Here is a 23817-nt window from a genome sequence, read left to right as displayed (position 1 = left end):
CCTGTGACAATGAGTTCTCGCGACATCTGGTTGTTTAAGAGTGTATGGCATCTCCCTGCCCCAGATCTCTTTTGCTTCTGCTTTTCCTTCCACCATGAGTAAAAGCTCCTTGAGGCCTAAGAAGATGCTGGTGCTTTGCTTCCACAGCCTGCAGAACTGTGAGCCAATTAAACCTCTTTTCTTTATAAATTACCCAGTCTCCTTTTCAAAAGAAGATATACATGTGGCCAACAAGCATATGAAAAAAGCTCAGTATCACTGATCACAAGAGAAACGCAAATCAAAACCAAAATGAGGTACCATCTCATACCAGTAAGAATGGCTATGATTAAAAAGTCAAAAAATAGTAGATGCTGGTGAGGTTACAGGAAAAAGGGAACTCTTATACACTGTTGGTGGGAGTGTAAATTAGTTCAACCATTGTGGAAAGCAGTATGGCAATTCCTTAAAGAGCTAAGAACAGAACTACCATTTGAGCCAGCAATTCCATTACTATTATATACCCAGAGGAACAGAAATCATTCCACCATAAAGACACATGCATGAGAATGTTCACTGCTGCACTGTTCACAATTGCAAAGATATGGAATCAACCTAAATGCCCATAAATGACAGACTGGATGAAAAAAAATGTGATACATATACACCATGGAATACTATACAGCCATAATAAAGAACAAGATCATGTCTTTTGCAGAAACATGGATGGAGTTGGAGGCTATTATCCTTAGCAAACTAATACAGGAACAGAAAACCAAATACCATATGTTCTCACTTATAAGTGGGTGCTAAATGATGAGAATTCATGAATATAAATGGAACAACCGACACTGGGGTATACTTCAGGGTGTAGGGTAAAAGGAGGGAGAGGGCAGAAAAAATAATTATTGGCTAATAGGTTTAATACCTGAGTGATGAAATAATCCATACAACCAACCCCATGACAGAAGTTTATCGATATAACAAACCTGCACATGTAACTTCAAACCTAAAAGAAAAGAAAAAAAAAAAAAACTACCCAGTCTCAGGTATTTTTTATAGCAATGCAAGAATGGTTGGCTGGGCGCAGTGGCTCACGCCTGTAATCCCAGCACTCTGGAAGGCCAAGGCAGGAGGACTGCTTGAGCCCAGGAGTTTGAGACCAGCCTGAGCAACATGGCAAAACCCCATCTCTACAAAAATAAAAAAATAAAAAGAGACTGGCCTAATACACTGATGCTACCTCTGGACTAGAGCATGATTCCTTCACTTGTCCTGCTGTGGCTTGGTCACTGAAAGCAGAACCTCTGGAGGGTTATACTGTGAACAGTAATTAACAGGTAACTCTAACCTGTGATAGCAGATAAACAGTCAGCAGTCTCTGGAGTCAACAGCAGAGTGTGTCAAGAATAATACCTCTGAGCTTACCGAGGTTGTCACTCTCTTTTTTCTGTCTGTCCCTCCCCATTCTCATCTCTGGCTGATCCTCTCTCCATTCCTATTCCTAGCTCACCCAGTTTATGGCTCTCCATTATTTTCCCCTTAACTGGTCAAAAATGTTTTAAAAGTTGTTTTTGGTGCTTTATGATCATGAAACCATTTATTCAATGAACATTTGCTGAGAATTAGCTACAATACACGTGGCATTAGCAGGTCATCAAAAGGCCCCAAGAATCTGGCCTGCACCTGTGCTAGGCAGAGGTGATGCCTCTCTACAGAAACAAGTTTGGTTCATTCTTCATTCATTCTCTTTTCATAAAAAGCCTTAACTGAAATTTTTGTTTCTCAAGTAACTTCCTAAGTTTCTTTAATTTGTACATGAAAATGATTATGTTAACACAATTCATAAAATTTAGCCCCACCTCTCACCTTGATTTCGTGGCTTTGATTCATTTTCCCTGAGTGTCAGCATGAAATCCAGGAAAAACAGCTCCCATCCCAGCTCCTATCCCAAAGACCACTGAAGTAAAACTCCCTGAAGTACAAAATAAAAGCTAAAGAACCAATCAGCCTCCCTATAAACTCCCCAACTTTTTTCTTTTTTTTCTACAGGTATTAACACAGTGACACATGCATTGTGAACCCTGTCATGGTGTGATTTGATATCAATAGCTTGTCATACCAACAAAGCCTAATTAGAAGCATGGTAAATTAAGCACTGGTTGAGAATTTCCTCTTTTCTTTATTGAAAATAAATTATGTTGATCCAATTCATAAAATTCAGCCCCACCTCCCAGCTTGATTCTGTGGCTTTGATCCAAGCCTGTCACAAAGTCATTTTTGCTTTTAATAAGTACTTACTCAGGCCAGAAACTGCCCTATGGCTCCCCAGTCTGTGGAGAATGTGTCTGTCATGGCTCTGTGGCATGTCGGGGTGGGAGCATGCTCAAGGCCAGAGGGAAGTCACCAAGGAGACTGTGTATGGGAAAGAGGTGGCCTCAAATCATGAAAGTGCTTCAGGTAGGTGGGAAAGGAAGAAAGGTGGACATGTTTGGGTTCACTAACCTCTGCCTTTGACCGTGCATGTGAAATCACTCTGCTTAGTCAGCAACAAAGCTTGGAAGGCTGCAGCCATGGTTGAATGTTTTTCCCCTCCAAACCTCATGTTGAAATTTGGTTCCTGTCATGGTGGTGTCAGGAGGTGGGACATTTGGGAGGTGACAGGGCCATGAGGGCTCCTCCTCATGGGTGGCATTATTTGGCCTGCTCTTGCTCTCTCTTTGCCCTCTGCCTTCTGCCATGGGATGATGCAGCAAGGAGGCCCTGCCAGATGCTGGCACCTTGATCTTGGACTTCCCAGCCTCCAGAACTGTGAGAAAATATGTTTCTGTTCATTACAAATTACCCAGTCTCAGGTATTCTGTTATAGCAGCACAAAAAGAACTAAGACAGATGCCAATTTAAACCATCTGGCTTAGCCCTTCCTTGCTGGGACAGGACTCCCTTTTAGATCGTTACAGCACCTCATACTTCAAACACCTACCACACTTGTCATTAATAAACTTTTGGGGTGATTCTTTCTCTCCCATTAGACCCTAAGTTCCATAAGAGCAGCAATAGGACTGTCTTGTCCACAATTAAATGTTGAAGGAATTTGAATTGAATGAATGAATAAGCCCACATGAGCATGACAGCATTCAGCATCTTGAATGGTACCTAATACATAGCAGGTGACAATATATGTCGAATAAATGAACAAGTCTGTGAATGAATGAGATAAACCAGCATGGAGCTCTGAGCACCTGTGCAGTAAGTACTTACTGAGGCTGAATGAAAAGGTGCAGCATGAAATTTGGTTTTCTTATGCAAGAGCCTCTAAAACAATTGAACAATACAATGTCCCTTGATCTGGAAGTTGCACCATTAGGTAGGTGATAATTATAATCTTCATTCAGCTCTGAAAAAGCAACTGGTTTGAAAATACCATTAAGCTGATGGACAATTATGGTTGTTTGCCCAAGTATTTTTTTTTTTAATGGCTTTAATGTTACTCTCTTTCAGACTCATTATAGAGCACCTGCTTGCACAGACCAGCGTGGTACAAATCAGTGGACTGCAAAGATCACAATCCTACAGTACCAGATAAGGAACCAGGATATACTGCCCAAGGCCTGCCCTTATCCCACCAATGATACAGCACCCTTTACAGAATCCCTTAGAGACTGCACCTGTTTTTAGACTCGGTGAATGGAGCACAGAGTTCTGAATCTGGATCCAAAACATGCTCCATTTCCTTCGGGGCTTTTTCATACATCTTCTTTCTTTCGGTCAGACCCTTGCTCGTCTCCACTGCAGGGAAGTCGTAATATCCCTTCCTCTTGGCTTTGAGGCGCAGCTTGTTCCGATAGTGCTCGATGTCTGACTTCTGCTTCAGGGCTTTGTTCACCTGGGGAGAGAGGCAGTCTCAGGCCCAAACCTGACCCAGTGGGGCCGGCAGGTGGGAGACTTTCACCAGGAGGTTATCACTTCTAAAAAAGCCATCACAGGCATCACCTCCGGGCCTCTGAGCTAGCCAGGCCCACCTGCATCCCATTCTGAGACAAGCCCACAACAGTAGACTATAGATACTGTGGAGCCTGGCACTCACCTGAATCACCTGAGACCTTCCTCCAAGGCCTCCTTCTCCCTAGTCTGTCCTGTCTCTGTTCAGGCCTAGGCCTGACTCCGTGCTCTTAGCAATGTGGCTCGGCCTTAATTATGCCTATACCCTTTTGGTTCCTCTGTGTGGGTGCCTCCGCCAGTTCTCAGTGCCCTGAGTCTAGCTCCAGTCCTGGGGAACCCAGTGGCCTTCGCTGCCCTTCAGCTGGTGTCCAGCTAGATAAGAGAGCAAGTTCCTGAAGAGGCTGAGCTGGGACGGACAGGGTGGAAGGGGAAGCAGCTGCTCCCAATGCCTTTCCACACTGTCAACCTGCATCTGACAGCATGTTTTTGTAAATCCATGCCTTTCTTGAGAGATATGTAATTTTGAAGCCTTGTATGGCCACTAACATGAACCAGGTCCTGCCCTATAGGGCAAAGGCAGTCTGGTCTTTCAGAAGGGAACGTGGCTAATGTACCTTGCAAACTGTTGGAGATATAAGCAGGTGACTGTGCTAAATAAGTAACAAGTGATGAGAATGTCACACCAACGTTTCCGAACTTTCTGTTTTTATTATGCTTTCTTAAAAATAATCTTTAAAAGAATGTCGTGTAATTTACAAAAGAAAAACGTATGGCTTCTGGGTTGTGCTTTCTTCATTTAAACCAGCCACCCACAATAGAAGGAGGAAGAAAATTACAAGACAATCTGTGTCAGGCTCCACAAGGCAGCAAATTATAGAGAACAGTTCAGGGCTCTCTTCCAATCCAAATGCCAGCAAGGTCCATTCCTTTAACTACCAAAATACAGCATCCATTTCTGGACAAGGAAGATGCTGATTTGCTCTCCTTCTTTGACAAGGTGATGGGCCTGGGAGGAAAAGGGGGTGATAAATTGAATCTATCCCAGATTTGGAATCTGTCTCTATGACATGCACATCATTAAGCTGGGATGAAAAGATCCAGGCCTAGTGGCCATCACATGTATCCATAACTGAGCAGAGGGTCCAAATCAACAGCAGTTATCAATGCATTAGTGTCAACCTCAGAGGCCTCTAATTATGGGGTTTGCATGTCTGCTGGCAGAATTGTGCCCAAGAGAAAATTCAGTGACTGTGACTGGTTTTGAGAAGACATTCAGATTCTCAAATTGTAGAGCCAAGGGGCATAAAATACATGATCTTTCTTCACTGGCTGTCTAATGGGTGGTGATAACAACAACAGTAATAATAATAATCATCATCATCATTATCATCATCATCAAAGTGCTTATTGTGTGCCAGGCACTAGTCTAAGTAATTTACATATATTAAACAATTTGATCTTCACAGCAGCCCTATTTTATAAACGGAGATACTGAGGCACAGAGAAATGAACTAACATGCTTAAGGTCACACAGTAAGTAAAAGATCTGAGGCTCAAACCCCTGAGGCATGGCTTGAGAATCCATACTCTTTTAAGCACAATGCTATTATTCTCTGGTAGGCTGTAGTAAGTAAAAGAGAGGAAAGGAGCGCTGGACAGGAAGTCAGGGGACCTCAACCTCATGGCTGTCACCATAACCTGCCGTGTGACTTTGAACAAGCCACTGGACCCCTCAAGCTTCAGCTTCTTGGTTTAAAAAATGAAGAGGCTGAAAGAGAAGTGCTCTGTACGTCCACAACCAGTTATTTTTTTTAAATCAATGAAGGTTTACCCATCACATCTTTAGGCCATCTCAGTCTTTCTGCCCAGAAAACAAGAGTTGCTTCCTGAGTTGGGTTTGTAAAATGCTTTTATAAGTGGCCCAGATGCTGCGTATTTACAATACCTGGTTTTGTAGGGCCATAGCATGTTCCTTGAGGTGTGATGGGAAAAAGACTAAAACTTTGGAAATCTCCCACCTCTTGCAGGTAAAAATAGCTGGGTATAAACAAATGAAATTAACAACCAACCTGACAGCTTAAGAACAGAGAAAAATTAAGAGCTTGTGTGTGTACATGCTTGGGCACACATGTAATGTAAATGTTCACATGTAGGGTCCAAATGCATCTTCTTAAAGTTCATAAACATTTGCAATCCACTGGCCATTCTGCTGCTGAAGATGAAGGAAATGCAGATAATTTTTACCTAACTTCTGGCATCTATCTATCTAATTTTCTTTGATGAAATCATCACTCTATGGTGAATGTTACAATTTTTTTTTTCAGACTCTTAGGAAAGTTGACTAACATCATGATATCCATTGATAGCTTTCTGGAAGCAGCCAATGAGTTGTTTCAAGTTTGCTCAAAGGAATAAATGTCATTTCAAAGTCCCCAGAGTGGCCCACATCCCTGTCCATATGACGTTATCTTCCCTGGTTCCCTCTCAATTCAAGCCCCTTCCATCCCCACTACAAGCAACATCCCACAATGGACAGTTTAGGAGTGTCACCAAGAAAGGCAAAAGGCTGTGTGTGTGAGGGGGTCGGGGAGCAGGACGCCTGATGCTTCTCTTCATAATCACATTTTTTTAACAGTTCCTTCTGGGCTTTTAATGAACATAGGAAGTGCTCTGAAAACATCACCCAACAAATTCTTTTTGGGTGACTTGTGTCCTGATTCATTCTGCAGAGGCCTGGTACATGCAGAGGTAAAAATGACCTATACGGCCCTAGGTGCAATCTGCACCCAGTATTCACAGGTGTTGTTCCTTCGTCCGAATTTCCCAAGTCTGGCCGGACCATCTCCTGCCCTGGGTCTCCAGGCACTTACCTCGCCGTTGAGGACTGCCGATGACTCCTGGCTCCTGTCCGAGGTGGGGGGCACCATGGGGAGGGCTGTGGGTTTTATGGCAATGAGCTGCACAGACCCAGAAGATGTGTCAAAGGGTTCAGCGGCCACCTTGCTGGAGTTGTCAAATAGAACCGCTCCCTCCTCTTCGTCACTCGCTGGCACTGAAGCACAACATAAACACATCGATTTTATGATGTTGGGGAGCTGTGTGATCCCAGGAGAATTTATGTTAGACTCACAGCCTAAGGACATTACTTTACTCAAAACAACCTCAGAAACGACAGCATCTGCTTCTGTGCCAAGGACTCGCTACTGCTAGCGGTTTTCCTTTAAATTTAAGATCTGTATGATTTATCCCTCCATTGCCTTATCATGGGTGGGAAAGAACTGTAGAGGTTTGAATTTAAACAGTAAGAACCATTCTTTCAAAACTATGACATAAGACAGTTGAAAAAAATTAAAAAGTAACTTCTTTCTCTATGTTTGAGTTGGAGGTGAGAAAAGTGAGTTTGGCTAAACCTTGTAACTGTCCTTAAAATCCGACAATCCTCAGACTAACAGCATTCAGTTCAGGTTCAGCCACCAATGCTACCAATCTTTACAAGATGTTAAAGTAGCAAGTCTTTCTTGGTCAACAAGCCACAGTTATAGTGGCTGACATTCTTTTTTTTTTTCCTCTTCTGAAGGTTGTTTCCCCAGTGATTTGGGTTTTGGTTTATTTGTCTAAAATAAAAGAAAGCTACGAAAATTCCGCCAGAGAAACTAATTTGAAGCTACAGACAACTCCCCTAATTAAGTAGAAGGATTTCTACCTACGCTCTGTTAAATTAATCCTCCCTTCTGACAGATAATTCTGCTGCAATTGCTAAAAGACACCAGTCTGCCTTGAGCTTCCATAACTAAGCTGACAGAAGTTCCAGGGCCCCTGGTATCTTGCTGATTTACTTGTTCTTAAAGCATATTCCCATTAAGTAACTATAAGAAAGACAGCTTATTGAGCATGGCTAGGCAAGAGATACATTAAGCCTATTCAAACAACTAAACCAGCAGACAATTTAGGAGGAAAAGAGGTGTTATATAAAATATGAATGTAATAGCAGTGTATTCATCTTTCCTCCTGTCTGCTTGAGAGATTGGGATGTTATTTAAATTATTGAGAAACACATAGTTTGTATCATTCTGTCACTTATCATAATCACAGAAGATTTGTCAAATTAAGCCAAGTAAATTGTTATTTTTACAAAGTGGCTAAAACACTTCAGAGTCTAACAATGGGTTATAATTGGATTTTTTTTTAAGTTCTGTGGGCTGATTTGCAAATAGCAGGCCACCAAGCAGCCAATGACAGAGGAAAATCTCTATTTGAATGTGTTACCAGATGCATCCATATTTTTAGATGTAGTTTTGCTGGGCAGCTCTGGCCTGGCCACCATTATCTGCCTCCTGGACACTTGCTATACAAGCCATCTATGAAAGCCAGCCAATAAGGTGGCTCCTAAGAATTCTCACCCCCTGATATTCATACCCAGGATGAATGGGACTGACCTGTGTAACCAACAGGAAACTACAGAAATGACAACGTGTTACTTCCAAGGCTTAGTTGTAAAAAAACAAAACAAAACAAAACAAAACAAAACAAAACAAAACAAAAACTCATGACTTCCACCTTGCTCTCTCTCGGATCACTTACTCTAAAGAAAGCCAGCTGCCACATTCTGAGGACCTTGAAGCAGTCCTATGGAAAGGTCCATGTGGCAAGGATCTGAAGCCCCCTGTCAAGAGCCATGAGTGACCATCCTGCAAGCCCCAGTCAAGACTTTATTTTTTATTTTCATTTTTCTCTTTTTTAAACTTCAATAGCTTTTGGGGTTCAAGCGATTTTTGGTTACACAGACGAATTCTATAGTGGTAAATTCTGAGATTTTAGTGTACCCGTCACGTAAGTAGTGTATCCTGTACCCAATATGTAGTCTTTTATCCCTCACTCCCCCCTCACCCTCTCCTCTGTCCCCAAAGTCCATTATATCACTCTGTGTGTCTTTGTGTCCTCATAGCTTAGCTCCCACTTATGAGTGAGAATATATAGTATTTGGTTTTCCATTCCTGAGTTACTTCACTTAGAATAATGGCCTCTAGCTCCATCCAAGTTGCTGCAAAAGACATTATTTCATTTCTTCTTATGGCTGAGTAGTGTATTCCATGGTGTATATATACTACATTTTCTTTATTGGTCGATGGGCACTTAGGTTGGTTCCCTATCTTTGCAATTGTGAATTGTGCTGCTATAAACACACATGTGCAAGTGTCTTTTTTCATATAATACTTCTTTTCATTTGGGTAGATACCCAGGAGTGGGATTGACTGCTGGATCAAATAGTAGATCTACTTTTACTTCTTTAAGGAATCTCTGTACTGTTTTGCATAGGGGTTGTACTAATTTACATTCTCACCAGCAGTGTATAAGCATTCCCTTTTCACCACATCCATGCCAACATCTATTGGTTTTTGCCAGTTAAGACTCTAGATGACAGCTCAGGCCAACATCTTGACTATGACCTCATGAGACCCTGAGCCAGAATGACCCAGCTAAACCAGTCCTAAATTCCTTACCCACAGATATGATATGAGATAATAAATGTAGATAATAAATTTCAGGTTGCTAGGTGCTGGGGTAATTTGTTACATGGCAATAGATAACTTACAGACCTTCTAAACAACCTTCCACCTCTGAGCTTTCCCTCTTCTCCCTCTATCCCTAAAATACATATTCCACCAGTAACCAGGATGGATAAACTTTCCAGAAGGTAACCAGATGGCATTCTTCCCCTGACCAGAACCCTCTGAAGGCTTCATCTCTGTCAGAATAAAACCAAGGTCTTCCCGCCAAGATCCTGTCAATCTAATGCTGGCCCCCTTGCTGAACTCATTTAGTCCCTCTCCCCTCATCTGCTCTGCTCCAGCCACAGTGGCCTTCTTTTTTCTTTCTTTTTTTTTTTTGGTGGAGTCTTGCTCTTGTTGCCCAGGCTGGAGTGCAATGGCATGATTTCGGCTCACTGCAACCTCCGCCTCCTGGGTTCAAGGGATTCTCCTGCCTCAGCCTCCCGAGTAGCTGGGATTACAGGCCCCGCCACCACGCCCAGCTAATTTTTGTATTTTTAGTAGAGACGGGGTTTCACCATGTTGGCCAGGCTGGTCTCGAACTCCTGACCTCAGGTGATCCACCCACCTTGGCCTCCCAAAGTGCTGGGATTACAGGCGTGAGCCATCGTGCCCGGCCCACAGTGGCCTTCTTGAACACATCAGGCTTGTTCCCATCTCAGGAATTTTGCACTAGCTATTCCCTCTGCTCAGAATGCCCTTTTCCCAGATCTCTATATGCCCAGTTCTCTCTTGCTTTTCAAGTTGCAGCTTAAAAATGACTTTCCTTAACCAACAATCTAATCCCCCCTTCATTACCCTGTTCTATTTTCTTCACAATGGTTACCACTACTGATATGTTATACTGATTTACAGTGTACCCTCACCCCTTTCCCTAGACTAGAAGCTCCATTCTTGCCCATCTTTTTAAAGACTAATGCCTATTGCTTTTAACAGTGTCTCACATATAGTTGGCCTTCAATAAAGATTGGTTGTGAGTGAAGAAATGAATGACTCAATTTCCCTGACTTGGAAAAGGAGATGCTGTTAGTACCTGCAGAACAGGTAACCATGCAGAAGTTAAAGTCATGCTATCCCTCAACCCATCAGAGGGTGAAGAGATGGCACTTAGCATTTTTATCACTTCTGGATGGTGACACCCTCACTCCCCAAACTGAACGGGGTAAGGTGGGCAGCATAGCATTAATGGGACAGGAAAATGACACCTTGGGAATTGTACAAGCTATAGTTATTTTTCACTCTTTCAAAAAAACTTTTATTCAGATTTGTACAATTCCTCTAGGCTTTTGAAGAGAAAAATAATTAGTTATCCTTCCCCTAAAAAAGACTTTATAGGCAAATATATTAAAAGACATTAAATATTAATGCTTCAAAATGTGGTATGAACACAGCAGGTTCATGGGGATTTTTAATGCATGATTAGTCCCTAAAGAAAAAGCATGGGAGAATGCTTAAGGGGCCACAGTGAAACTGCAAGTGTCTTAGCATAGCATCGCATCACAGTAAATGCCACTGAATAGTTATCTTGTATCTGATTGTGCCTTGTTTTTACTGTTGTTTTTAATTTCAGTAAATCAGGTTGGACAGAGAGATTTCATTTCTTCATGTCTGAACTGGCATGGGGAGTGCCTCCCTCTCCCATTTGAGGCAGAAAGTGTTCTTATCCAACACGTGCTTTTTCTGAAAATTTCATTAAAGCTCAGACAATCTATAATAGCATCATTATTCTCTAGTATTATTTATTAGATAAAGCAAGTCTTCACTTCATTGGGAAGGCAAAGAAAGAATAACTGAAACTGTGTTTTTGAGCTAGTATCTCTGACAAATCTTCCTTGATGTTTTAATTCCAGATGCCCCATAAAGAGCTCCTAATAAATTAGTAATTCATCCTCTAAACTTTCTAATTCTTTGCCTGCCTCACCTGCCCCATACCTTAGACAGGTGAAGTTTGATTATTAATAGATTCTGAGCCCTACCAGTGAATTCTCTCAGTGACATAAAGGAAGGGGGCATACTTTAAAGGGTTCAGGCAGGTGGTTGTTTGCTTCCAAATGACTTAAGATGCAAAGATATGTATTATTTTCAAAAATCTTGAACTTACTTTTAACTCTTTCCTATTAAACATATTTTCCATGTTTAGAAATTGGCTCAGAAATTCAAATGTCTATTTGGTTGAGAAAGCACCAAACTCTTTTTGCTTTCAAAATCCTAGCTCTCATGTCTGACTTTCCCACTTACATGTAAGCATCATTATGAAACAGACTCTAAAATTGCAGCGATGGTAACTGATGTGGCCATTGAGCTATAAGGACCTATGCCAGCCATCTGGCTAGCAGAATAGTGTCTTTTCCTTTCAAAGTTCTTTTTTACATAAAAGAAAAAGATTGGAAGCTACAGATGTAACAAACCTGATAGAAAACAAGAACAGTTTTAGAATAACAGCCTGCTACATTTAACATTTATTAACCTTAGTAACTTAAGCTTCTGTGAAAAATAGATACTAAGCCATAAGACAACAGCATTTGAATATTCCATATCAACAGAATAATGGATTCTCAGAGGCCATGTGCATACAGAAAGTCCTCAATACTTTTTGCAAGCTGGCAAGGTGATGAAAATATACTTTTTTGTTTTCTCCACAATTCCATTCAATGTCATTTTCTTCCTTCCTTCCTTTGGTTCATCTTCCAATGCAATAAAATACACTATTGATTTTATTGGTAAACTCTAACCTAGGATTATGATAAAATGGAACCCTCTGATAAAAACAACAAGTGTATGTTTTCATAAAGTTCTATCCTAAAATTCTGATGTCTGTTGAGTTTTACATGAGACAAGTTGGTTCTATTGGTTCTACTGGAAAAGTTCAAACCTAAAACCTTACGGAATAGAAACCTGTAAACAGAAGCAACCAGCCCCCCAAATTCACTGGGTTTACTTTTGGCAAAAATAAAGTGCAACCAAGCAAGCACTCTAACCCTGGAAGGATGGCTTTTTAATAGAGCAAACAAGCAAAAACCTCAACCTGGCATAGTAACTGCATTTTATTCCTGCACCCACCTGTTTTATTTCTAAGCCTTATATTTAAATAGTCAAAGTGACCTAAATAGAATAAAGAGGCAGGAGGAGAGGGCAGACAAGCAGAAATGGGCAAGGTCAGCAGGGACATCTAGAGCAGGCCAGAATTTCACCAGCTAAGTGGGGAGTGACGGGGTCAGGAACCAGCCCCACTCTCTCATCTTCTATGGATTATTTGCAGGGAAGGGGAAAAGACATCACTTTGCAAATGTGTATTCATAAAGAAAGGAGCTTTGTATGGCACAGTTTAAAGCAAGAGAAAGGGCATAGAACAATATGCGCACTGATTCCATTTAATAAAACAAAATAAAGCATTACAACAAAAAACAAAGATACATGTGTATTGCCATATGCATAGTAAAAAGGTCAGAGAAAGATATACATTGAGTTATTCGGGGTCCTCTGAGGACTGGGGTGGGTGAGTGGGGCATCTGGAGGAGTGAGTAGTCTTTGATTTGACCTTGTAAATTTCCAGGAAGTATATAAAGGAAGGAAGGAAGGAAAGGAAGGAAGGAGGGGGAGGGGAGGGAGTAGGCGGAGCTGGGAGGGCGGGAAGCACCATCTTGGATAGATGGTGATGGCCGTCACAGTATTTAGTTAAAACAACCTTCCCCATATGGCTTCACTGTCCATTGTCTCTGCTGTCACCTCACTCTCTCTACCCATCTCTCTTATCACCTCATCCTAGGAAGAAAGAGAAGAAAGTTGCTGAACTCAAGTCCCCTTCCCAAGATCTAGAGCACCTCTGACTCCGTGTGCTCACTCGATAGAGCTGATGGCAGGATTTCTAGTGGTCCCAGGTGGGGCAGATATTGCAGGAAAATTCCACAGGTCACACCCCATTTCTGATGTAGAAAGCACAGCCTCTGTGTTACAGGCATGCAGAATTCAGGGAAAGACAAAATTTCAACCACCAAATAGGTATGACAGTTTAAACTTTAAACAAGTGCTTTATATAATAGCTGAAAATGGGAACAGGGAGCACATTTTCCCTACAGAATACAAATCCATGTGTCGTTATTTCTTTTCTTTTCTCTGCTCTTACCGTTTTCAGTCGGAAAAAAAAAATAAAAGTGATATTTGAAAACAAAAAAATATTCCAACACTAGCTTCAAGAAAGAGTCCCTGCACTATGCAAACTCCTTTGAAAGGGAAGTGCAGCTAAGCAGGGTGCTAGAGGGTTTAGCTTTTCACCTGGCATTTCTGTAGGGCTCCACCTACAACCCATTAAAATCCAAAAGGACTTTTCCCTGATATGAAATCAGTAGTGCTGGGTACTTGAATTCTGGCCCCAGTAAACCAGCATCACACACGGAAGGGCCACATGGAGATGAGAGTCAGAACCAAGGTGGGAACAGGAGAGGGAGCTGCACAATGATGTTGACAGAGGCCATCTATAGACAATGCCACTCCACAACTACGGTGCTCAGATGACTGATAAATAAACCCCAACGCCAATCCTTACAGGAAAGGAGAGATCTGTGTGAGAAACTAAGTAGTTCAGCTTCCCTGGAGAATTAAGACAGAAGCATATAACTTTTTTTTTCTTTTCTTTTCTTTTTTTTTTTTTTGATGACAGATCTGTTCCTTTATTGTTTTGGGTTAGTTTTTTCCTGGGAGAAGTGGAGTTGCAATATCTGGACTCAGTGGCACAGACTGAACCCATGAAACTTATCAGGGGAGTCAGGGCAGGAAAATGAGAGGAATCTCCAAGATGAGCAGTTATTTCAGAGATCTGCTGCCTTAGTGGAACTGGTGCAAGAAATTGCGTCAATTCATGTGATTAGAAATTAGAAATTTTAGAGGATTTCTAACTAGAGAATTAGAAAAACCTCTAAGCAAACATCAGTTCATTCCGCAAAAGGTTTTTCCTAAGGAACTACACCATTTCATAAGAACAGGGGCGGAGGAAGTGAGACAGGACAATTCAGACAAGGGGTAAGGTGAGAACCCAAGGGGTACATACAGACTCCTGGCCCTTGTGGGGCAGAATAGAAAGAACGACTGAGGGTCAGAGCCCAGTGGCTGTGTGTGAGTTTGTGCACACGTGTGCACGCATGTGTGTGCGGGCACGCGTGGGAGCAGCTGGGGGTGGTTCTTGGAGGGAAGGCTTCTCACCATTTCTCTTCCTTGCCTCCTCCTTTGTCACTTTCTGCTGTGCCATTACATTCTGGGGTGAGCGTCTCCCTGAGCTGGGCTTCCCTGATTCGTTGCTGATGACAGAGCCATTCTCACTGGGCGACCTGCTGGAGGTAACCATAGCAACAGGGGAGACGGTAAGTTTCAACTAGAGCAGCCGCCTCTCAAGGTTATTTTATTTGCACAGTTTAATGTCTGTAGCCTTTCATTCCAGTTTAATGGACAAAGAGGAAACGATACAGAAAAAGAAAAAAACAAAACCACCCACACTACAGCGTGGGTTAAGCAGCTGGCTGCTCGGAAGTCCGTTTTGCCGTGCTCAGCCCATAGAGTTCAGTGAGCGCAGCCTTGGGTGCCCATCTCTGTTTCATTAACCACCACCCGCCGTGACTATGGGAATGGTGGCAAGGGTGGCATCCATGCAGCATAGCCTGTTTTTAATACCCAGCACTCTGGATAGTGTTGCAGAGTGTTTAAATCACATGGGAATTTCCAGGGACATGTATCACACGTGGTTCTCTTTGGCTATTGTCTTTACCACATAGACTTTGACTACAAAACATTCCGTTTCCAATTTTCAGTTTTCGGGCTGCTCTTCTCACTCCAAGGAAAGGCATCAATAAGCAAATTTCTGTAGCAAAAACTCAACTATGCCTTATTCTTTGCATAATACCCCATCACTAGGGGCTTCACTCTGACACACACACACACACACACACACACACACACACACACAAACATTCTCTCTCTAACTCTCTAACTGTGGCAACTGCTACCCACTTAACATTTTGATTTTGAGCTATTTGTTCATTCAGGAAATACGTTTCATTCATCTACTCTGTGCCAGACATATACATATGTGGAGACTCTAAGATAGCACCCCATGCCCCCCAAGAGCTCCCCACCAGGATCACCTACTGTGTACCAAGGACTTTACTGCGTGCTTTTAAAACTGCTAATGGATCATTATAATGAGCCACTGATTTGGTGGCTGCCACCCTTGTTTAGCAAGTGAGGAACATGAAGCTCATGGAAGTGAAGTGTGTTGTCTAGGACATAGTAGGAAAGTGGCGAATCAGTCCTGGAAGCCAGGCTCCCCCTCCTCCCTCATCCCAGAACACCTTCCCTTTGCTGTCCCATACAATGACCAAAGATAAGGCAGCCCTTCACACAGGGCAAGTCACAGAGCCTTCTTTCCTTCCTCAGGGCGGGACTCTCATCTTCTGGAACTCTGTCAGGGAATGGGATCCAGAAAGCCTCCCTCATGCTGCCTCTGGCCTCAGAACATGCCAGCCCGTGGGTCCGGCTGAGCATAAAGACTGACTGCCTCCCCACTGTGGGAGACAAGCGGGAGGCAGGTATCTAGCGGCCTCTGTTCTTCTATTGTCAATCGTCCAGATTTAGAAAATAATGACATCTATCCCTGACAATGGAGAATTGTCTGGAATAAATGCACTTGATCAGTAGGCGAGCAGCTTCTCAGCTGGAAGCTGTGTATCCTTCCGGATGCTCCTCTGCCTCCTCCTCCCTTCTCCCTCCTCCTCCCTTCTCCCCTCTGCCTCCGGAAATTTCCAGTTCTCAGTCTGTACACTTTAATACCCTAAAAGCCATGAACAATCAAAGTTGGGATATCTATGGGATAAGGCAGTATCTGCCAAGAACATTCCGTGGCACACTAAAGCCAAGTGGGACATTCCTCGCCAAAGTTCCCTAAATGTGGGAAATGCTCACTATATTCCTTCTTTGGAGATTCCTAATGCACCTTAGCATATCAAAGGCTCTGATCAGTTCTGTCACAGAGAGATTCATCTGGTCTCGTTTAACCCAACATTTCCAAATTTATTCGGTCACAATCTTTCTCATCTTAATACCTTTTAACATCATATAAAATGAGTAATACAAAGAATGTAGTCTGTGAAAACAAGGATCGGTACTAACTTGTTGAATATATGTTATTTTATTTACCCAACAGCTATTTGATTGCTGAGTGCTGGGTGTGCAACACCCAAACATAAAAGACACACACCCCTAGATTGTTTCTGGACTCTTCTGGTGAATGGCACCTACTCTCCCAACTGGCGGCACTGGTACAAAAGGCTTTAATTTGCGTCCAGAAAAAAAAATAGGAAAGGAAAAGGCTTTTTATAACCTATTTCACATTCACAAAATAGTGAATGACTGATTGAGTTTTTGAGAGTCTTGATCTGTCACCCAGCCTGGAGTGCAGTGGTGCAATCTCGGCTCACTGCAACCTCCGTTTCCCGAGTTCGAGTGATTCTCCTGCCTCAACCATCAGAGTAGCTGGGATTACAGGCGCCCGCCGCCATGCCAGGCTAATTTTTTAGTATTTTTAGTAGAGCTGGGGTTTCATCATGTTGCCCAGGCTGGTCTCAAACTCCTGACCCCAAGTGATGCATTTGCCTCGGCCTCCCAAAATGCTGGGATTACAGGCATGAGCCACCGAGCCTGGCCTGAATGGTTTTTGTAGCATTTTCATACCATTTCCCTCATTTGATCCTGAAACAATTTTCTGGCTGCTCCTCTCACTCCAAGGAAAGGTGTTAATGAGCAAATTTCTGTAGCAAAACCCAACTCTGCTTTACTCTTTGCTTCTGTTTATAGACACATTTACAGGGAGTCATCAAGTCAAAACTTCCGTTCAAAAATAGAGTGAGATTTGTGCCCGTGTGTTTGTGCATGCATGTCCACTCACATGACAGTAACAAAAGTGTTTTTGAAAGCAAGAAAGTGTCACCTGCGAGGCTGCAGTTTGAGGCTACTGAATGCAAAAGTCCCCATTCTGAGGACATGGAGCTGGGAAGAATATTCTCGGGTTGAGGATTAATCAACTGCCGAACATGGCACGAATCACGGCCAATCACTACACTGAAGTGCCCTTTGCAAACAGCTGTAAACGGTTGATTCTCCATCCTGGCCCAACAATCTCAGTCATATATCAACAAAATAGCCTCACCAAGACCCTACACTGGAGGAAAAGGACGCAGAACACCCATCTGACTGTCTGGAAGTGACTGAACCCTCAGAGTTCAGTGCTAAAATAATTCATAAAAATTGAGATATCTTAACCATCAAACCACCGGTTTCTCCTGGTTTTCACTTGAGAAACTTCTTGGATCATCTAACAGACCCATTCTGAGAGGGAAGGCAGTCTTTATCTAGCAGGAATGAGAAAAATGATGTGGCAAGATGGGGAAGCCAGAAACATAAGATTCATAACGGGTTTTCTCTTGACTTTGATGTTTTGAAAATCTTTTCAAATGATCAGAGACTCCCATGGTCAGCTGGACTTCAACAGAGAGGAGGTTTCTCTTACAGCTTTGGAAATGATCTAACCAGCCCTTAGTAAAATTATATTTTTATGCTAAAATTATGAAAGTGGCCAGGCATGGTGGCTCATGCCTGTAATGCCAGCACTTTGGGAGGCCAAGGTGGGCAGATCACTTGAGGTCAGGAGTTTGAGACCAGCCTGGCCGACATGGTGAAACTCCATCTCTACCAAAAAAATACAAAAATTAGCCAGGCATGGTGGCACATGTCTGTAATCCCAGCTACTCGGGAGGCTGAGGCAGGGGAATTGCTTGAACCCGGGAGGCAGAGGTTGCAGTGAGCTGAGATCTTGCCACTGCACTACAGCCTGGGCAACAGAATGAGACTCTGTCTCGAAAAAGAAAAAATTATGAAGCAAATATAGAAATCCTTCAGGAATATATGTGTTATCATCTTCATCTGTATTTGTTTCATCAGTTAATATTTCTTATTAAAAATTTGGGGGTAATTGATTAGCAAGAGTAGATTCCTTGCTAATCCAAGAAGAAGTGCTTATTCTAAAAAAATTTAAAGAAAACTTTACACAATTTAAATTATTCAACTAGAATGGGTGAAAAATAATTTTTATTCTTCCTGAAAGTACTATGTTCATATCCTAATTTTAGTAACACTATTTATTTTCAGTGTCCTCTAAATAGGTGATAAATAAGTTATTAATAAGCCTTTGTTGTATTTGGCAAAGATCATGATGAGAATAATAGCTGTAGGTAATACTACTTGCAAGTCAATTCAGGTAAATCATCTATTGCTTCTCTGTACATTTCAGCTCTGCTCTGCTTATGCTCTCTCATGTTGGGTGCGTGATTGCAGTAATGGTCCTAATTTGTTTGTACATCTCTTGGTCCTAATTTGTTCGTACATCTCTGTCAACAAGCTTTGGGTAGTCTTCTCTCATGCTGAGTCTGGACTTGACCATGAGACTTGCTTTATCCAAGAGGACAGTAGCAACCATGACACAAGCAAAGATTTGAGAAATGCTTATGCTTTGGGTGTTTTTTGTTTTTCTTGCTGCTCTGCAACCACATTGTGAGAAAGCCAGGACTAGCCTGCTAGAGGATGAGAAACCATATGAACAAAGGCCCTTGCTACCTGGGGTATTCCTGATAAGATTAGTATCAACAAGTCAGCCCAGTTGATCTGTCACCTGACTGGAGATGCATAAGCAGGCCCAGCTAAGGTCAGCCAAGCCTAGCTGAGACCAGAAGAACCATCCAGCTGAGCTCAGCCCAATGTGCTGACCCACCAAAATAATGAGCTAAAAAAAAATGGTTGTTGTTTTAAGTTATTAAGCTTTGGAGTGCTTTGTTATGGAGCAATAGGTAACTAATCCACATGCCCCAACCTTCTTTCCTACACAAGCTGAAATCCAACCCTCTGTTCCTCTTCCTGAGGTACCAAGAGTTCTTGGAAGAAAATATGCAGTCTTGTTGCTTGATTCCAGTACAAAATGTGGGTAATTGATACAGACGATCCCTCCTTCCTTCTCAAATTACTTCCTTCTCTTGGCTTCTTGGATCTTACTCTCTCTTTGTTCTTCTCATGCCCTTCTTCCTGACACTATTCCTTTTTCTTTGTTGATCCTTCCCCATCTTCTGGACCTCTAATCATGACAATGTTCCAGGGTTCAGTTCTTGGATCTTTTCTTTTCTCTATCTGTACTCTCCTAGGTGATTCTTCCCAGTCTTATAGAGTAATTACACACTGACCACTCCTACATTTATATTTCTACCCTAGACCACTCCTCTAAACTCCAGACTCAAGGTTAACTGAGTTCTCAACATCTCCACTCATATACCTAACAGGCATCTCAAATGTAACATGTCCACACTCAAACTCTTGACCATCCCCTACAAACTACTTCTCCTCCAGTATCCCCCAACACAATAAATGGCAAATTCACTCCTCTCCACTTCTGTCACTCCACAAGAATCTATCAGCAAATCTTTTCAGCTCTTCCTTCAAAACACCTCTAAACTCCAACCACTTCTCACACCATCCCATGACACGATCGTCTCTCACCTAGGTCACGGCAGTAGCCTTGTAAAGGGTCTCCCTGCATCCACTCTGCATCCCTACAGTCTGTTTGCCACACAGCAGCCAAAGTGAGTCTGTTGTATTTATTTTAATTATATTTTATTTTGAGACAAGCCCTCACTCTGTCATCCAGGCTGGAGTGCAGTGGCACAATCACAGCTCCCTGCAGCCTTGAATTCCTGTGCTCAAGCCATGCTCTCACCTCAGCCTCCCCAGTAGCTGTGACTACAGGTACACACCACTGCACCTGGCTAATATTTTTTATATAATTTTATTTTGTAGAGACGAGGTCTTGCTTGGTTGCCCACGTTGGTCTCAAGCTCCTGGCTTCAAGTGATCCTCCTGCCTCGGCCTCTCAAACTGCTGGAGTTACAGGTGTGAGCCATGCACCCAGCCCAAAGTGAGCCTATAAAACTGCAAGTCACATCATGTCATTGCTTTTCTCAAAACCCCCCAATGACATCTGATCTTTATTCACAATAAAATCCCAAGTCCTGACTTTGGTCTGTAAAGCCTGACATAATCAACCTCCAGCAACTTGCCAGACTCATCTGCCACCACTTCCTCCCTAGTTCATGCCAGCCCCCTTGATCCTGCTTTTCTTTAAGTATGTCAAGAAGTTCCCTCCTCTGGGCGATGCACAAACTGTTCCATCTGTTTCGTACATTCCTCCTGCAGATAACCTCGTGGTTTATACCTCAATCAGGTCTTTCTCAAATGTCACTTTATCAAAAAAGTCTTCCCTAGCTTCCTAGCTAAAATAGCACTATGTCTCCTTCTCCATTTCTCTATCCCTTAACTGTGCTTTGGTTTTCTTCTTTGTACTCATCACCACCTGATCCAGAAATAGATAGATTTTACCTGTTTCTCTATTTGTTTATTATCTATCTCTCCTCACCAGATTATAAGCTGCCCAAGAACAGTAACTCTGTCTTGTTCACAGCAATATCCCCAGTGCCTGATAAACAGCAAATGATCAATACACATGTTAGATAAAAGGAGGGGAGAAAGGAAGGAGACATGGATGATGTAGTTTTTTCAGTCTCCATAGTAGTCTCAGGCAACAAGGGAGTTGACAACGCATGTTGGTTTAGCCAGCCAACGCGGCTTGCCATAGGGTTCATTACCTCTTTATAAGGCTATTGCAAAGTCTTACAATGAGTCTCTTGGCCTCTAAACTAACCTCTCCCATCTCTCATCCACACTGCCATCAAAGTATCCTTCTAACATATAGGCTAACATCATTATCTTCCAAAAGACCTTTCAGTGGCTCCCCGTTGCCTAGATAATAAAGGTCAGATGCCTTGCCAGGCAGTCAAGACTTTCCAAAATTTTAATTTATCTTCTGGTTTCATTCTTCACTACATCCAGCCACTATGAACTCTAAACTCTGGGGACACTCACCATTTAGAGAACAAACCTGTCCCTTTTCTCTCCCCACTCTTTTTAGACTGGATGCCCTTATATCTTCCCACCTATTCAGATCCCACTCACTTTTCAAGGCTCAGCTAAAGGATAACCTTCTCCACGAGGTTTTCCCTGTTCAGAATTAAGTTCTTCCTCCTGACTTTACTACAGCCCTGCAGTCTCCAGTGCAGGCACCAATACCTCATCCTCGGTATTCCAGTTATTTTTCTCTCCGCCTCCTCCATCATGAGACTCCTGGGGTCACAAATCAATCTTACACATTTTTGTAGTCCTAAAGGGATGTCTTCAAAGTGCTCTGCTTATAGTATAAATTAAATATATGGTTTTGACTGAAATCAGAAACCCCTATTGAGAAATTGCCAGATAAAATACAACTATATTGAATCAAAGGCACTGCTTTTAATATAAGTTTAAAATATAAGTGTAACATCAGTGCTAAATTTGCTATAGTAAATATATGAACTAAATCTCTGCTGTTGTGGTTATCAGAGACATAAAACCTTACAAAGCGTAGCCCAGGCTAGGCAGGTATTGTGATTCTCATCATCTCCTTTAGTCTCTTTTCAAATATTCAAAATGAGCATGAAGGGGAATTTTTAAAGAGAACCGTGGAATTAACTTGAGGGCATCAGCTTTTCTCATCATCAATTATTCTCTTGCTGACACAGAGAGGCAGAAGTCAGCCCCGTGCCTACCTCTTCCTGGTTTCAGTGGATTTGGCGGTCTTGATGGTGCTTCCATCCTGAGCGACGTCTCTTTCCTGAGGAGCATCTCTAATGGGCAGTGGGAGAACCACTGTCTCCTGAGTCACAGGGATGACCTCCTCATCTGCCCCTTGCTGGCCCAGGTGTTGCTTGGCATAATCAAAGCCTTGCACAGGCTGCAAAGAGGAAACAGATTTGCAGTCGTATTTCTAGCGAAGTGTGACTCTAACCATGGCTTTAAGAGATGACAGGCAGCAAAAAGATGGGACCAAACTTAGCTTTCTAATTAATAAACAAGAGTTAACTCAAATCCCCATCATTATTTCCGTCTCTTCAAAATCAGAATCCATGTTAATTCCATCCAGCTACAGAATCTCTACAGATAAGACTTGCTCAGAAAAATGAAGACTGTAAACAACATGTAAACAGGTGTTTAAGATCAAACCTCTTTCAAAGATTTTAGACCATGAATTTTAAGTCAATGGATGCTGCAAATGAGAAACAACTCAATTAATACATTAAACAGGTCCTGTGGATCACCTCCTGCCTAGAAATGTTTGGTCACCTCTTCACTCCATTCTCGTATAGCTTTATGTGTAATAGCACATGTGTGACTTTGCCAAGCCACTTGAACTCTGAACCTCAATTTTTTCATCTGAGAACTGAAGATAATCTTATCTGCTTTACTTCTACCACCCTTGAGTATTAAAGTGGATCACAGATCTGAACACAGAGGGAAGTGTGTTATCACATGTGAAGCCGTACAATCATTAATAATGAAATGGAATTTATGGAGTCACTCTTTAATCCAGACTTCGCCCTTAAGTAGGCTGGCTCTCCTATAATGCATTCCTGGGAAACTGGCAAAGTTTTATTGCACAGCATCTGAAATCCCAAGTGCATAAGGCAGCTCTGAGCAAAATCCAACAGACATCTAGTAGTGTGGTAATGAAAACCAAGACGCATATTTAAACAATTCCTGAAAGTGTCTCTATTTTGCTTTACACCCCAAAGCAGTACAATACAGATTTGAGGCAGGACAGTGTGGTGGGTAAAAGTGGCAGTTTCAAAAGCAGATTGCTTGGGTTCAAATCCCGACTCCGTCATTCATTAGCTGTGTGACCTTGGGTAAGTTACTGCAACTCTCTGCTCATCAGTTTCTTCATCAAGCTTAAAAGATGGCCATTGTTATTATGTTAATTGGAGATAGTATAAACATGATACAATTTATATGTTTGTGAGAGCAACATGTAACCACTTTTAAGGGGATGCTGTAAGGATTAAATAAGAAATTCAAGTTCAGCATTTAGATAAGTGCCTAGCCAATAGTAAGTGCTCAATCAATATTAGTTATTACTTTTGCTTTCCTGATAAATCATAGTCCAGGTGAAATGGACAGCAGTGATTTTTTTCAAGAAAATCTGCAGATGAAATTCAAGCTCTGTCATTTAGAGTATATCAGAACTTGATATGATCAGAAGCCCCTCCTTCAGCAGCTAATTTTTATTATACTTTAAGTTTTAGGGTACATGTGCAAAACATGCAGGTTACATATGTATACATGTGCCACGTTGGTGTGCTGCACCCATTAACTTGTCATTTAACATTAGGTATAT

At 42.2% G+C, this 23817-nt stretch overlaps 1 protein-coding gene across 9 annotated transcripts in view; it reads right to left on the bottom strand.

Annotated features, from left to right (window-relative positions):
• KIAA1549L (KIAA1549 like) overlaps window positions 1–23817 on the bottom strand; it is a 297995-nt gene that overhangs the window by 60489 nt on the left and 213689 nt on the right. For 5 of the 9 annotated variants that reach the window (XM_047426719.1, NM_012194.3, XM_005252847.4 and 2 more), the window contains 4 exons: window positions 22193–22377; window positions 14667–14794; window positions 6792–6973; window positions 3648–3865 (listed from right to left, as the gene is read on the bottom strand). In XM_047426719.1, coding sequence (XP_047282675.1) covers window positions 3648–3865; window positions 6792–6973; window positions 14667–14794; window positions 22193–22377 — 713 coding nt within the window. Of the gene's footprint in view, window positions 1–3647; window positions 3866–6791; window positions 6974–14666; window positions 14795–22192; window positions 22378–23817 lie in introns of those variants that run through there. The other 4 variants (XM_005252848.4, XM_047426720.1, XM_017017486.2 and 1 more) reach the window with 2 other exon arrangements.

This window comes from Homo sapiens, chromosome 11 (genome assembly GCF_000001405.40).
Source record: "Homo sapiens chromosome 11, GRCh38.p14 Primary Assembly".
Lineage (NCBI taxonomy): Eukaryota > Metazoa > Chordata > Mammalia > Primates > Hominidae > Homo > Homo sapiens.
This window is presented reverse-complemented; position numbering and strand designations above follow the sequence as displayed.